At 42.3% G+C, this 16,261-nt stretch overlaps 1 protein-coding gene across 11 annotated transcripts in view; it reads right to left on the bottom strand.

The window, feature by feature from the left end:
* GLDN (gliomedin) overlaps positions 4,983-16,261 on the bottom strand; it is a 71,711-nt gene continuing 60,432 nt past the window's right edge. For 9 of the 11 annotated variants that reach the window (NM_181789.4, XM_017022121.2, XM_017022124.3 and 6 more), the window contains one exon: positions 10,348-14,071. In NM_181789.4, the coding sequence (NP_861454.2) occupies positions 13,594-14,071 (478 nt within the window). In that variant the 3' untranslated portion in view covers positions 10,348-13,593. Of the gene's footprint in view, positions 5,122-10,347; positions 14,072-16,261 lie in introns of those variants that run through there. The other 2 variants (XM_017022125.1, XM_017022126.3) reach the window with 1 other exon arrangement.

The raw sequence follows: 16,261 nt of genomic DNA, 5'->3' as shown, positions 1-16,261 counted from the left end.
AAACCATAAAAACCCTATAAGAAAACCTAGGCATTACCATTCAGGACATAGGCGTGGGCAAGGACTTCATGTCCAAAACACCAAAAGCAATGGCAACAAAAGCCAAAATTGACAAATGGGATCTAATTAAACTCAACAGCTTCTGCACAGCAAAAGAAACTACCATCAGAGTGAACAGGCAACCTACAACATGGGAGAAAATTTTCGCAACCTACTCATCTGACAAAGGGCTAATATCCAGAATCTACAATGAACTCAAACAAATTTACAAGAAAAAAACAAACAACCCCATCAAAAAGTGGGCGAAGGACATGAACAGACACTTCTCAAAAGAAGACATTTATGCAGCCAAAAAACACATGAAAAAATGCTCATCATCACTGGCCATCAGAGAAATGCAAATCAAAACCGCTATGAGATATCATCTCACACCAGTTAGAATGGCAATCATTAAAAAGTCAGGAAACAACAGGTGCTGGAGAGGATGTGGAGAAATAGGAACACTTTTACACTGTTGGTGGGACTGTAAACTAGTTCAACCATTGTGGAAGTCAGTGTGGCGATTCCTCAGGGATCTAGAACTAGAAATACCATTTGACCCAGCCATCCCATTACTGGGTATATACCCAAAGGACTATAAATCATGCTGCTATAAAGACACATGCACACGTATGTTTATTGCGGCACTATTCACAATAGCAAAGACTTGGAACCAACCCAAATGTCCAACAATGATAGACTGGATTAAGAAAATGTGGCACATATACACCATGGAATACTATGCAGCCATAAAAAATGATGAGTTCATGTCCTTTGTAGGGACATGGATGAAATTGGAAACCATCATTCTCAGTAAACTATCGCAAGAACAAAAAACCAAACACCGCATATTCTCACTCATAGGTGGGAATTGAACAATGAGATCACATGGACACAGGAAGGGGAATATATCACACTCTGGGGACTGTGGTGGGGTCGGGGGAGGGGGGAGGGATAGCATTGGGAGATATACCTAATGCTAGATGACACGTTAGTGGGTGCAGCGCACCAGCATGGCACATGTATACATATGTAACTAACCTGCACAATGTGCACATGTACCCTAAAACTTAGAGTATAATAAAAAAAAAATTAAAACAACAACAACAACAACAACAACAAAAACAAAACAAAACAAAACAAAAAAGCATCTAAAATCAGCACCAAAAAAAAAAAATAATTATTCTTGCTGTACTGTATACAAATAATCAGGTCAAGTATAATAAAGCAAATAGATACTACCATGATTTACCTTTAGTAAAACTGGGAAACTGAAGGGAGGAAAAATTATGTTTCAAAAACTATAGTACACCTGTTAGAATCTGGTCTTGCCTAACTATTTTTGATTTTTATTATTTTCTAGAGTTTGAACCAAGTTCTATTTTTTGTGGGCTACAAGTCTTCAAAATAATGTTTTCAATTATTTTTCCTTCTTTTTTCCCCATTTTTCCTAATTTAGAGTCACTGAAAACTAAGCTGTCCTTTCTTAAAGCCCTGTGAACTGAAGCCAGACAAACTTCAGAAGAAAATAACAGCAATCTATTTACATACATAAGCCACTTTCATACCTGACTACTGATGTATGGACTTGAGAGTAATGTGGCCTATATTGATTTTTCAGGATTGTTCTTTTGTTGTTTTTCTCCCTTCCTCCCCCTATTTTCTCTTCACAGGACACGAGACTTCATAACCTGCTAAAAATGAGCTTTCCTAATAACTCGGGACTTACCCATCTAGGAATACACCATCCTCGACATGAGAGATCAGATGAAATCTTAGACCAGAGAGAGACTCATTTTATTCTAAAACACTTTCTCCAAAAGATTTTAAAAAGGGGAGAAAATGTGAATAGAAAATACGCTGGGCCCCCGAAATCACTAAGCTAAAGGGAAAAGTCAAGCTGTAACTGCTTAGGGCAAACCTGCCTTCCATTCTATTCAGTCACCCCTCTGCTCACTGAGACAGATGCATATCTGTTTGCCTCCTTTGGAGAGGCTAATCAGAAACTCAAAAGGATGCAACCTTTTGTCTCTTATCTACCTGTGACCTGGAAGCCCCTCCTTGCTTCGAGTTGTCTTGTTTTTGCTTCGAGTTGTCCTGCCTTTCTGGGCCAAACCAGTGTTTATCTTACATATTTTGGTTGTGTCTCATGTCTTCCTAAAATGTGTAAAATCAAGCTATGCTCCAACCACCTTGGGCACATATCATCTGGAGCTCCTGAAACTGTCAAATGGGTGCATGTCCTCGACTTTGGCAAAATAAAATTTCTAAAATAACTGAGACCTATCTCAAATTTTGGGGGTTCACAAAAGCCACAGGGCTGGAGCTGCCTTAGGCCATGGGAGCCCACCTCTTGCATCAGTGTGACCTGGATGTGAGACATGGATTCAAAGGAGATCATTTTGGAGCTTTAAGAATTGACTGCCCTGCTGGATTTTAGACTTGCATGGGGCCTGTGGGCACTTTACTTTGGCCAATTTCTCCCTTTTGGAATGGGTGTATTTACCCAATCCCTGTACCCCCATTGTATCTAGGAAGTAACTAATTTGCTTTTGATTTTATAGGCTCAGAGGAAGAAGGGACTTGCCTTGTCTCAGATGAGACTTTGGACTGTGGACTTTTGAGTTAATGCTGAATTAAGACCTTGGGGGACTTAGAAAGGTTTTGAAATGTAAGGACATGAGATTTGGGAGGGGCCAGGGGTGGAATGATATGGTTTGGCTGTGTCCTCACCCAAATTTCATCTTGAATTATAGCTCCCATAATTCCCACATGTCATGGAAGGACCTAGTAGGAGGTAATTGAATCATAGGGGTGGGTCTTTCCCATGCTATTCTCATGACAGTGAATAAGTCTCATGAGATCTGATGGTTTTAAAGGGGGAGTTCCCTGCACACCTCTTATGCCTGCCGCCATGTAAGATGTGCCTTTGCCATGTAAGATGTGCCATGTCTCCTTTGTCTTCTGCCATGATTGTGAGGCCTCTGCAGTCATGTGGAACTGTGAGTCCATTAAATCTCTTTCCTTTAAGAATTACCCAGTCTTGGATATGTCTTTATTAGCAGTGTGAGAACAGACTAATACAGGTATTTATTATGGTTGTTGTTTGTTCATACCTGTCCTTCTTGGGGAGGCTTTCCAGGTATTCAAAGGGACTTAGGTGTTGTGATTTATGTCTTTGGTCACTGCAGCTGTATCTGCATTAGGAGGTACTCCATGCCCAACAATACTGTGGCTTGTGCAGAATCAAAGATACTACCTTGGTGGACCTGGATGAGATCCAGAATTCTCTGTATTAGCAGGCAGAGAATCTTGTTCTCTTCCTTTACTTTCTCCCAAACAAATGGAGTCACTATCTCTATGCTGTGCTGCCTGGAGCTGGGGGAGGGAGTGACATAAGCACCCTTATGGCCACCACCACTGGGACTGCACTGGGTGAGCCCTGAAGCCAGCACAGCACTGAGTTTCATCCAAGGCCCACTGTAATGACTATGTGGTTACCACTTATGTTTGCTCAAAGCTCTATAATCAGCAAGTGGCAATGCCAGCCAGGCTTGTGTTCTTTGCTTTAGGGCAGTGAGTTCCCTCCATCCCTGGATGGGTCCAGAAGTGCTGTCTGGCAGCCAGGGCCTGAAGTCAGATACTTTAGGAATCTACCTGGTGCTCTGTTCTACTGTGGCTGAGCTGGCACTCAAGCCAAAAGACAAGCCTTCTCACTCTTCTCTCCCTTTTCCACAAGAAGAGTCTCTTCCCATCGCCACCACTGCTACAGGCCAATGAGGAGTACTGCCAGGCTACTGCCAATGTCCACTCAAGGCCCAAGGGCTCTTCAGTCAGCTTGTGGTAAATGCTGCCAGACCTGAGACTCACGCTTCAGAGCAGTGGGCTCCCCTCTGGCCCAGGACAGGTCCAGAAATACCGTCTGTGAGTGAAGGCCTGGAATCAGGGACCCCAAACCCCCTTGGCACCCACTTGGTGCTCCACCCCACTATGACCCACCTGTTAGCTAAGCTGCAAGACGAAGTCCTCTTTATTCTTCCCTCTGCTTTTTTTTAAACAAGAAGTCTTTCCCCACAGCCACCACAGCTGGGAATGTGCTGGGTCTCACCTGAAGCCAGTAAGTCTCAGAGGTTCACCCAAGGCCCACGACATGTACTACCTGGCGACCACTGCTGATTATTCAGGGCCCAAAGGCCCCTTTACTCAGCAAGTGATAAATCCTGCCAAGACTGGGTCCTTCCCTTTAAGACAGTGGGTTCCTTTCTGACCCAGAGTATGTCCAGAATTGTTGCCTGGGAACTAGGCTCTAGAATGAGTGTCTTAGGACACTGCCCAGTGCCCTAGTCTACTGTGGCTGAACTGGTTTCCAAGTTTCAAGATAAAGTCCTCTCTACTCGTCCCTCTCCTCACCTCAACTGGAAGGAAAGTCTCTTTCTGAGCTGTGAGCTGTGTGGCCTGAGCCTGGGGGAGAGGTGGTCCAGGCACCCCCTTGGCTGCCCCGGCTGGTATCTCACCAGATTGTATGCCCCCCAAGTCCACGGGCTCCAAGTGCACAGCACTAGAACTCACCTAGGAGTTGTAGTCCTTGTGGCCTAGACTGCTTCTCAAGGTTAGTTGGAACCCAAGTCACCTTAGCCTGCAGCGGCGAGGCTTGCGGAACTCAATTTCTGGCCACTGGAAGGGATGACTCCCCTCTGGCTAGGGCTCATCTAAATGTTCTCTCTATGGGGTTAGTTGATTTCTGCCTGGTGTTGCTTTCCACTGTGACAGGGCAGCACTGAGTTCAAATGCAAAGTCCCACAATTACTGTCCTCTCCCTCCCCCAAGGACAGATTCTCTCTGTGCATGGGGCCACTGTGGCATTGGCAATGCAAGACTGTCTTTCAGACCCTCTCTAGTGCCTCTTTCAGTGGTAAGTTAAAACCAGGTACTGTGATTGCTCACCTGATTTTTTGGCTTCTTAAGGTGTTTTTTGTGTAGATAGTAGTTAGATTTGATGTTCCTGTGGGGAGGATGATTGCTGGAGGCTTCTTTCACCATCTTGCTCCACCTCCTTCCAAAAAATTAGTTTTTAAAAAGGCTCTGAAAAAACATACACATTATAAACCCTAAAGTAAAATAACACAGAAATAACAATTACACAAATTATAACTAAAAATCCAAGAAAGGAAATAAAGTGAAATTTTAGAACACAGTCAATTCAAAAGTCAGCAGAAAAAGAAAAAAGGGAACAAAGAACAGATAAAGCAATAACAAGGTGGTAGATTTAAACCAACCATATCAATAAATGCATATCCATTGCATGAAATGTAAATGGTCTAAACTAAGGAGTTGGGAAGAAAAAAAAATGTAAATTGTCCAGACCGAGAGTCTTCAAACCTTTTCTTAAAGGGGCCAATCATAAATATTTTAAGCTCATAGACGGTAAAGTTTCTGTTGCAACTATATCACTTTATTATTATGACATAAAAGCAGCCATGGACGATACACAAATAGATGTAGCTGCATTTTAATAAAACATTAGTACAAAAAAAAGGCAGCCCACCAGGCTGTAGTTTACTAATCCCTGGTCTAAATATCTCAATTAAAAGGCAGAAGTTGTTAGGTAAAAAAAGAAAAAAAACACAAAGCTTAACTATATGCTGCCTACAAAAAAACCCACTTTACTATGACACCCATAGATTAATAGTAGGAAGGAAAAAGATATCCTATGCTAACATGAACCAAAAGAAAGCTGGAGTGCATATGTTAGTATTAGCAAAAGTATATTCCAGAGCACAAGTTGGGGGATAGAGAGAGAGAGATGGCAAGGGTGAAAATAGAAATACAGATCCATCTTTTACCAAAGGGATCAGCTTGCCAACCTCACATTACCTTGTCAGACTCCTAAGGACAAGAGAGACCAAAAGACAAAAAAACAGAAAAGGACTTGCTGAGTCTCCTCCTATGTGGATGTCTTTAACCCTTATCACTACAATAGAAAGGTCAGAGGGAGCCAAAAAGCATAGAGGAATCGTAGGTATTCTTAGAGGCAAGTAAGAGTGGTTGCTAAAAGCATGAACTCTAGTGTCAGACTGCCTGAATTTGAATCCCAACTTCACCACTTACAAACTGAGCGACAGTGGGTGAGCTTCTTAATTTTTCAATCTGGAAAATTGATTTAAAAAAGACTATACCTTATAGGCTTCCCATGAGAATTGTACGAGTTAACACACTTGAAGCATTTAGCATGGTGCCTGGCACATGGTCAGCACTCAATAACATGAACAACATTGATGTTGCCACCACCATAGTATTTCTTTCCTAGCTTCTTTGGAGAAAGTAAAGTAAAAACTATTGTACCCTATGTGTGCAGCTATCTTTAAGTTGGCACAGTGGCTCCCATATTCTAGCAATGGCCAAAACAATGTTCTTAATGGAAAGTACAATTTGAGGTAGCATGATTATCCCAGGGGGTGGCAGACTATGTCCTTCAGGTTAGATCTGGCCCACTACCTGTTTTTGTATGGTCTGCAAACTAAAAATAGTTTTTACTGTGTAAATATTTTTTAAAAGTCAAAGATGCTTGTCAAAAGTTTGAGAACAAAAGAAAAAGTCAAATAAACAGAATTTTGTGAGATGTAAAAATTATATAAAATTCAAATTTCAGTGTCCATAAAGTTTTAATAGAGCCATGCTCATTTATTTACATGTTATAGTTTTCAACTACAATGGCAGAGGTGAGTAGTTCCAACAGTGACCGTGTGGCCCACAAAGCTTAAAATATTTGTTATCAGGTCTTCTATAGAAAAAGTTTGCCAACAAACTTGATTTAACCCATCTTTGAATTTCCCCTTTACTTCCAAATGCCCACAAAGTCTACACAAACTGCAACTTGGAAGTGGCCAACACAGACATCTTATCCCATATGTCAGAGCCCCAGTCTGTCTCTGTTCATGTTCTAACCTTGGCATAGCAGGTCTTCTTTTGTTGGGAGTTTAATCTTCTTTGGAGGTTGGTAACTCTGATCTTTAAGTACAGGGTCTGATCCTGAGATTTTTCTCCCCTTCTGCAGGAGACAAGAGTCTCTTTATAAGCTGGAGGTGTAAGGAGCGGGTTAGGAGGCCCTTAGCTTTCTCACTCAGTTTTCTATTGGTGATTAGTCACGCTCAGCTTTTTATCTGTTTTCAGTGGGCCAATCAAGCTTAGCAGTAGCCACCTGATTTTATTATCCTTTCAGTCCCTATTTCGCCCAAATCTCAAACATCTGACACATCACATCAGCTAATGCCTTCCTTTCTACCGCTATACCATGCCAGTTGATCACCAATGAAAGTTTGAGCAATTAGACCAATTCCTTGTCCCAGGTGATATTTGTGCTTTATCTATTACCAACCTGGGGTCCTCAATGAAGGAAGGATGGTGAGTGATCCAGCACCAAAGCCCCATTTCAGTGGCTTCTTTCTGGGATCATACCTGGTTAGGATTGCCAGATTCAGTAAATATAAATGCAAGGCTCCCAGTTAAATTTGAATTTTAAATAAACAAATACATTTTTTAGTATATTTCATGCAATATCTGGGACATATTTTTACTATAATTTTTCTGTCAATTTGAAATTAAAATGTAGCTTGGAATCCTGTATTTTATGTGGCAATTCTACAACAGGTTGGGTTCCCTGGGAAGCAAACTCTGAGATGGAGTTTAGTCAGCATGATGTCATTAAGAAGAGCCCTTAGGATCAACACCTGTGGAAAGGAGGTGCCAGAAGCAGGAAGGACAGAGAAAGTCAATCTACAGGCACGGTGACAGACTTGGCTGAACCATGGGGTACTCTGGCACTAGAATTGCTCTTTAGAGTAATTCCAAGGTGGGCTGAGATGTCTAGGCCTTTACACTCTCACACCGATCAGTCATTGGATGATGAGGCGCTTCCTTGGGCAAAGCGGCTCTCTGCAGCTCTGACCATTTCTGTAGGGGCTGACAGCTGAAGGCTATATGTTGACAGCACTTCCAGCACCAAAAGCAAAATGTCTTTTCTGAAGTAGAATCCAAGTTGTGAGTGCATCGCAGTGTTCACTGCATTTGTAGAGAGGATTTAAACGTCACGTAGAGGGAAGGGGTGATATCTAAGGACTTTTCCACTTGGGCATGATTGAGTGAAATCACGTGTGCAGATTGCCCAGGAGACACCACAGCATAGAGATGATGAGCACCAAGTGGCAGCTACTTTGATGTTTCTAAAGCACTGGGCCAGGAAGGGCTGTCCAGTGGTGGTAATCTTGAGAGTAACAAGTAGTGCTGGACTTGGGCGTGTGTATCTGCTCCAGAAGGTGAGGCTGGGCATTACCGAGTGATGGAACTTCTCTGCAAGATGAGGCTGGGTTTGGCATATTTCTCTAGACATAGCTTTTTAAAAAGGAGTGCCCTAAAAAGCATTCAAAGTTAATTTTTCCACTTTCCAGTTATAAGAACCAAATCCAATCTTTGGAAGCGGTGGGATGAGGTGGAAAACATAAAGTCAGGAACAGTGTTTCCTCTTGACTCTGGCACTGAAGCTGCACGTGGGGTGAATTAGTCATGAATCTCCTCTGGTCTCACTTTCCTAGACTTTAAAATGACAGTGGGATCGAGTGTTCTGTAGGGGTCCCATCCAGTGTTGACCTTTTCTCATCCTGCAATTGTGGATGTGGCCTCTGGGCAAGCGGCTTGGGACATTGACAATGCCATGTTGCTAGACACAAGAATCTGATTTTAGAAGTAGTTTAAACCACTTCTTTATTAAAGCTTAACTCAGTTGTTGAGCTGGATCATAGCAGAGTGTTTGGAGGAAACAGTAGCGGGACTGAAAGACAAATTTCATCCTTATTTAAAACCTTTACAGTGAATAGATAGAAGATTAGGGATCTTAAAATCACATGCATGGTCTGAATGGTCCACTTAAAGGGGTGAGACTATTATTTTCTCCTTGGACTTTTTCACTTTGTAATATTTCAATTACAAAAGTCCAGTAACAGGCACTTCTAGGGAAGGTTAGAAAGAAGCTCTATAGGTCAAGGTAACAGGTACTTGAACCATTTTTTCATTATTTGGGGAGTTTTATGTAAATATGTTGTATAACTAAGGGACCATTTTTTTTGGCGTTGTGACAGCGTTACCTGATCTACCAGGTCCTTGGTCTCAGCCCATGGAAACTATTCACATGGTGTCCCTAACCATTTCTGCAGCCCTAGATAAGCCATAAGAACAACAGGGTCTTTATAGCAGCCCCTGTTGTTCTTATGGCCTTATCTAGGGCTGCAGAAATGGTTAGGGACACCATGTGAATAAGCACACGTATGTTTATTGTGGCACTATTCACAATAGCAAAGACTTGGAACCAACCCAAATGTCCAACAATGATAGACTGGATTAAGAAAATGTGGCACATATACACCATGGAATACTATGCAGCCATAAAAAAGGATGAGTTCATGTCCTTTGTAGGGACATGGATGAAGCTGGAAACCATCATTCTGAGCAAACTATCGCAAGGACAGAAAACCAAATACCGCATGTTCTCACTCATAGGTGGGAATTGAACAATGAGAACACTTGGACACAGGGTGGGGAACACCACACACCAGGGCCTGTCATGGGATGGTGGGGTGGACGGATAGCATTAGGAGATATACCTAATGTAAATGACGAGTTGGTGGGTGCAGCACACCAACATGGCACATGTATACATACGTAACCTGCACGTTGTGCACATGTACACTAGAACTTAAAGTATAAAAAAAGAAAAGAAAAAAAGAACAGGGTCACTCTGGCTCCCTGCAGGGAGGAACAATAAAAGTAACAATTATAATTTGCCAAAAACTGTATAATTATCAGAGCATTTCACATAGAAAAACCAAAGGAAGTAAATACTATTACTTTTTTTTAGACATGTTTTATAGATGAAAGAGGCTCTGAGGGATTAAGAGACTTGCCCAAATTCACATAAATCCAGTTTTAAATTTTTGTTCTTTCAATTTTTAGCCTCAAATATTATGTCCTCAATTGCCTTGCCCATGCTGATGAATTGGCAAAGCTTGATTGCATTTATGTCTACGTATAACCCAGTTCTAGTACTAGATTTCCATCGCTCATGTTTTCTTATAGAGAAGAGACAGTCCATATCAACAATTTTTCAGTACTGTATTCAGAAGGAGCTAGCAAATTGAGTTTCCACAGAGGAGCAACTAATATAATTCTACCACAATATTGTTTTGGATTTTTTCTTTTAAATGTTACGTATACATTAACAAGAGGTAAAAATAACAACACACTTGTTTCAACATGTGATTGTGCTCAGCAATGATTATTTTATTTGACTTGTTAAATTACAACCAAAAAGACATTCATCGTTATTCATTTGTTGTTCAGGATCTGTGCAGGTTGGAAATTATGGCTCTTAATGCTGTGAAACACAGGGCCACAGCATCTGGATGAAAACGCAAAGCCCTATCACTCATTTCTCCTTCACTTGCCATCAGATGATCATAGCCAAAACGTCCTCTGTGTGGTTGGAAGATGACACCTCACTCATCAAGAATTGTACTGTTTCATTTGACTTTTCACCTTGTGACTGTTAAGATGCCTAAGATCAGAACTCCTCATCTTAAAACTTCCACCCCAGAACTTTTTCTGTCATAGCACCTGTGCTTAACGATACTTGGAGACCAGAACCACCTACTTGGCTTCAGGAGGACACCTTATCAGCTGAAAGAAAATGCCTTGAAATAGAGTGTGGCCTAGCTTTGAGGTTGGGAGGGATGGTTTTGTTTACTTTCCAGTGGGAAGCTATCTACTTTAGATTAAAGAAGAATTAGAGAATTATCTGGTTTGATTCTGACATCAGAAGTGCAGATATTTGGAAAGTGTTTTAGAGCAACTTTGGTTATAAATGAGAGGGTAAACTCCTAAAACAGTATCTTGACTTAAAAACATTCAGTTGTATACTCTATTTTAGCAGTGAGCCCAAAACTTCTTTAAAAAATCAAGTAATGTTTACAAGAAAGAATAAAATCTTAATCCTTTTCACTTTTAAAGACAATCAGATAAGATTACCCACTGCGATTAAACACTGATCAAACTCAGTTGTCCTTACGTTAGCATTACTCTGTCATAGCAAAAAAAAAAGAAAAAAGAAAAAAAGTCCCGGTGTAAGCTTCTCCAGTGGTGAGCATGATCCCTTACTCACAAGTAAGGGAGCCCAGATAGCTCAGATATCAAGACTGAGGTTTCTGAAACATTTTTCTAAAAGGAATATGTGCTAATTAACAACCTCTTTTGGTTGCTACCTTATATACAATTAGTATTGTATGTACTATTATTATGAAACTATATTCCTAACCTGGTCTCCTGTATTCAGCAACAGCAACATATATATTTAAATACTTTAAAAGGACACCAGCACTTATTAGACATATTGATCTTGAACATGAGACTCTTTGTTAGAGAACGTGAATCTGAAAAGAGTATTTTTAAAAGCTAAGGTGACATGGTACAACCAATCTAATGAAAAGTAGGTGAAGTTTCAAATAGCCATCATATTGAGAACACAACAAACAAGTCATTGACAGCTGCCTGGGGACTTTCAGGGGAGCAGGGAGATTTGAATATTTAAATCTGTATATCCCCTAAGTTTTATTTTCTTATATTTTATTTTTTAGAGATGGGATCTCTCTAGGCTGGTCCTGAGATCCTGGCCTCAAGTGATCCTCCCATCCCTGCCTCCAAAGTAGCTGGGATTGCAGTTATGTGCCACCATGCCCAGTTCAACCCTAAGTTTTAAAATACTGCTGTTAATAATATATTGAACTCAGGGCCATTGAGAATGAATTTGGTCCCAAAGAGAAAGTTTCAGAATACACACAAATTGGGACAAGTTGCTGAAAAATCTTTACATAAGATTTGCCCTGGTTCCCCTTCCTGGCTGCAGAGCCCCAGGAACTTTTCCAGCTTCCTCTCTATTCGCAGTGGCCCTTCCCGGGGCCGCAGCGCTGGGCTGAAAGATGTTTAAAGAAGTGAGTTGGCAGAAAATATGCATATTTAAGAGCATTTAGGAGCAAGTTCAACTGGATTCTCTCCTGGCATCCAAGGGGACCAGATCACATCCTTTAAAACTATGTTAGAGAAAGAACTGTCCCCTAACCAGCCTTTGTGGAGGGCCACTTCATCTTACGCCGTTATCAGCCTTCCCCTCTACTCAAAACGCAAGTCACATCCTATGCGGCTTCTTAGTTTAGAACAAAACAAAACAGGCTCTGGTTCTGATTTTTTCAAGAATCAGGCTCACTTTATATTCTTTATCAGGAGTCAGCAATCTTTTTCCATAAAGGGGTAGCTGGTCAATATTTTAGGCACTGTGGGGCCATATGCTCTTTGTTGCAATGACTCGACTCTGCTGTTGCAGAGCAAAAGCAATGTCAGGCCGTACTGCATAAACAAATGAGTGTGGCTGTGCTCAGTAAAACCTTATTTAAAAAAACAGGCAATGGACTGGCTCTGGCCCAGTTCTACATAATAGCCACAAATGGAGCCTCTCTTCTGAACACTGCAAAGTGCTTCCCATGGTTCCAGCCAGATTAACGTCTACTTACACAGCATTTAGTACTTTGATAGTGGATCCACAGGAGAAGCATAAGAAGTCAGAGTGATCTGAGGATTCAGTGTTCATGATCCACAGCTACAAATCAACATGATCAGAAACTGGGGGGAACCTGGAAGATCATGATTCTGTTTTATTAAGAAACCTGGGCCAGGCACACATGCCTGTAATCCAGCATTTTGGGAGGCCAAGGCAGGAGGATCACTTGAGCCCCAGGAGTTCAAGACCAGCCTGGGAAACATAGCAAGACTCTCTCTCTATTTAAAATAAGAAAAGAAAAAAAATAGCTTATTGAAAAAAAAAAAAAAAAAAAAACCTGAACATGTAGCTGTCCCTGGCTTTTGCTAATCTCAGAGCTGCCCAATCAGCAGCTGAGGGTAATGGTTATTCTGTGGTGGCAGGTGCAGATGCAAAGAAAAGCAATAAATTATGGATAATGTGATACTTTAGATGTCTTAAAGAGTCAATGCATTTTTTCAAAGAACAAGATATAAGTCAGCACTGAGGGATTCACTACTCAAGCCACTGGACTTATCAACTCAAAGGTAAATTTGGTCAGCATGTGGCTAAAAAAGCTAAACGACAGAAGCAGATACATAAAAGTTGTGAGAAGAGCAGCCACCAAGAATCACCAAATTACCTACAGGTACAGAAAATCTCCCCAATCATCTTAGCCAATTCAGATTACCAATGGGGAAACTAAGGCCCAAGGAGAAAGAGGTAACTTGCAGAGCCAGCTGTGGGGAGATCACCAAATCTCAGCCATTTCAACTTCCAATCTGTTGCTATTTCACTAAGCGGGGCTCACTGACCATATAAACACTTTTGAGGTTATTTTCTAAATATCTGGCTGACGTTAAAAAAACAAGTTTCCTGTTGGGGGAGAACTGGTCCCAGAAAACCCCTGAAATTTGCTGAAGGGAGCCGAATGCAGCACATCACTGATTTAAGGTAGTTGACAAAAACTGCACAGGATAAAGCATTAAATGGCCATCTTCCCATGAATATAAATGCTGATCTCTCATGTTGTATGCTAACATGGCAAGAACAGACTGGGAAGTTCTTAAATCAAAGTTTGCATTGATCTGTTTCCCTCCTAACAAATCAAAGGCAAATGTGACCCTCATATCTTTGGTGTCTGTGACATAGAGGATTCCTCGGGCAATGAAGGCGTTGCCAGCCTTGGATTTAGGGTACGTGGTATTGACGTGTTGCACCACTGAGAATGTCCTCTCATCCAGTTGTGCTACAAGAATGCTCGAGCCGTCCACACTTGACGCATAGATAATCCAAAGGCCCTTTTCATCTACAGCTAGATTGAAGTAAGTTTTGGAATTTGCAAAAAGGTATTTTCGATCAAAATACAAGGCATTTTCAAGCTTCAGAGTTTGGGATGTTTCCTGGCCAAATTCAAATCTGAAATATGCAAACAAAGAAAAGTAGACATGAATCACCGTTTCTGTGGACAGGTGGTTTATTAGGCTCCTCTATTAAACTGAGTTAGTGGGTCTGGGGTGAGGGCTGGGATTTTGCATTCCTTACAAGCTCCCAGGTAATGCCTGCTCTGCTGGTCCTTGGGCAATGCTGTGAGCAGTGAGGCTGTAAGAGACAATGACTGGCTGTGCTAGCAGAGGCAACAGGGAGACAGTGGTGTGGTGTCAGAATAATCACCAAAGTCAGAATGAATTTGCATCTGAGTGACCACTTACTAGCCATGTGACCCCCACTTCACTAATGCCCAGATGTTTGTTGACCTCCTGAAATGCCCCCTCAAAGATTCTTAGAGCTGCAAGGGGGCTGTAAAAGAGGATCTAGTCCAATCTTTTCATTTTATAAGCAAAAAATGAGAAGCAACTGGCCCATGAAGACAAGTAAGAGGCAGAGCCAGAGGTTGAACTTAGGGTTTCTAACTCTAAGTGTGGGGGTTATTCCTTTACTCCCTGCTGAAATTTTAAAAAAAGAGTTTCACAGCCTGCTAAGTTAAGAAGAAAGTCAGCAGGTGAGAAGGGCTGTTGCAAAGTCATGACTGTGAAAACCATTTTCTTGTGAAGTAAGTGGCTGGATACATTAAACTATGGCATGGAATCTCATGCCCCTTAGCTCCTGGAGGCTGTATGATTTGACAGATTCCAACTCTAGGCTGTATTGTAAAAGTGAATTATAATTCAAAAGGTACGTAACTCCAGGAATGAAAATTCAGGAACATTAGGCTAAAAGAAAACACCAGAGGGTGCCACTGAGCAGCAGAAGAAACATGAACTGTGTGCATCTGTGGATATGCATTTGAGCATAACAGACTTGAAGTCTATCAAGAAACCGTGAAGAAACTAGAGAATAGTGAGGCTTGGGAAGGTCCCTGCACATCTCAGTACACAGGAGTTCTCCTTCCTCTGAATACCTGGGGTTTACTGCTGCCATTTGGCCCCGTCTAGTCCTGGCACCTCACAGCTGCATTCCTTGGTGAGACCCATCTCTCCCAGCAATTACAGGGTCGAATTCAGCTCTGCTTCTCCGTCAGGTCCCAGTCCGTGGCGCGGCATAGAGCAGTACAGCCTCCTAACCACTGCATCCAAACTTAGCTTCCTTAGAAGATACACCTCCTTGAAGAGGCCAGTTCTCACTATGGGGGTTATCCACCGCAGAACTGCCCCCCACGCCACCTCCGTGTGGCAATAGCCCTATATAACATGGCAGCAGGGAACCACAAGATTCAGTGAGAAGCATCGGAGGAAAGAGTGTGTCTTGAGAGGGGGACTACTGAGCAGGTGGTAGGTCAGTTGTCTTTTTCTACTAGCACAAGACTGCCCAAATGGGGTGGCCAGGGAGGTGTAGAGATGATGATGGGGGTGTCATGTAGATGGGAGTGAGAGGCAAAGGAGGGGATGCTTCCTGCCGCGGCTGACGCCAGTGTCCGATGTGTCTGATCATATCGCATATTACACTAGGAAACTCGCCCCATTCTAACCTGAGCATTCAAATGCCAAAGGTTGTTAAAGCTGGACCTCACTAAGGGTAGGAGAAGGATGAGGGAGAGGGAAGGGACCCAGTCCTCCCTCAAAGTCACTGTCTCTTGTTTTGAATGAGTAGGACTGTGGCATTCATAATACTGGGTTTACTGTTTCAGATAGTGGAAGAGCTAGAAGGACTCAGAGGCTGTAGTCCATCTTTTTGTTTTTAGTTGAGGACAGGGAGACACAGGAAGTGCTGTCTCTTGTCCAAGGCCATAGAGGAGGCACAAGAGTTGGAGCCAGAAACCAGGTGTCCTGGCTTTCGGTTCATTGCTCTCTTGATTTGCCCAAGATGACCTGCTTCTGCCTCCAAAGGCCAGAGCTTGATTTCCTCTTCTTGAACCCTAAAGACAGAACTTCAGCAATTCTTGTGGGGAAGGCTCAGCGGCTGCCTTGGGCAGTGTCTACCCAGGTGACCCTCCTCCCTTCCCTATGGGAGAGCAGAGGGCGGCCTGGGAGGACTCCATCAGGATGACAGACGGATCTGAAGGCAGAGACGCTTGACTAGGGGTTCATTCCCCAGTCTTCAATGATCTCAGCTGTGACACGAAATTCCCCACACCCAAAGTTTTCCAAAACAAAACTTTATCAGGGAGCA

Source organism: Homo sapiens, chromosome 15, assembly GCF_000001405.40.
Source record: "Homo sapiens chromosome 15, GRCh38.p14 Primary Assembly".
Classification (NCBI taxonomy): Eukaryota; Metazoa; Chordata; class Mammalia; order Primates; family Hominidae; genus Homo; species Homo sapiens.
This window is presented reverse-complemented; position numbering and strand designations above follow the sequence as displayed.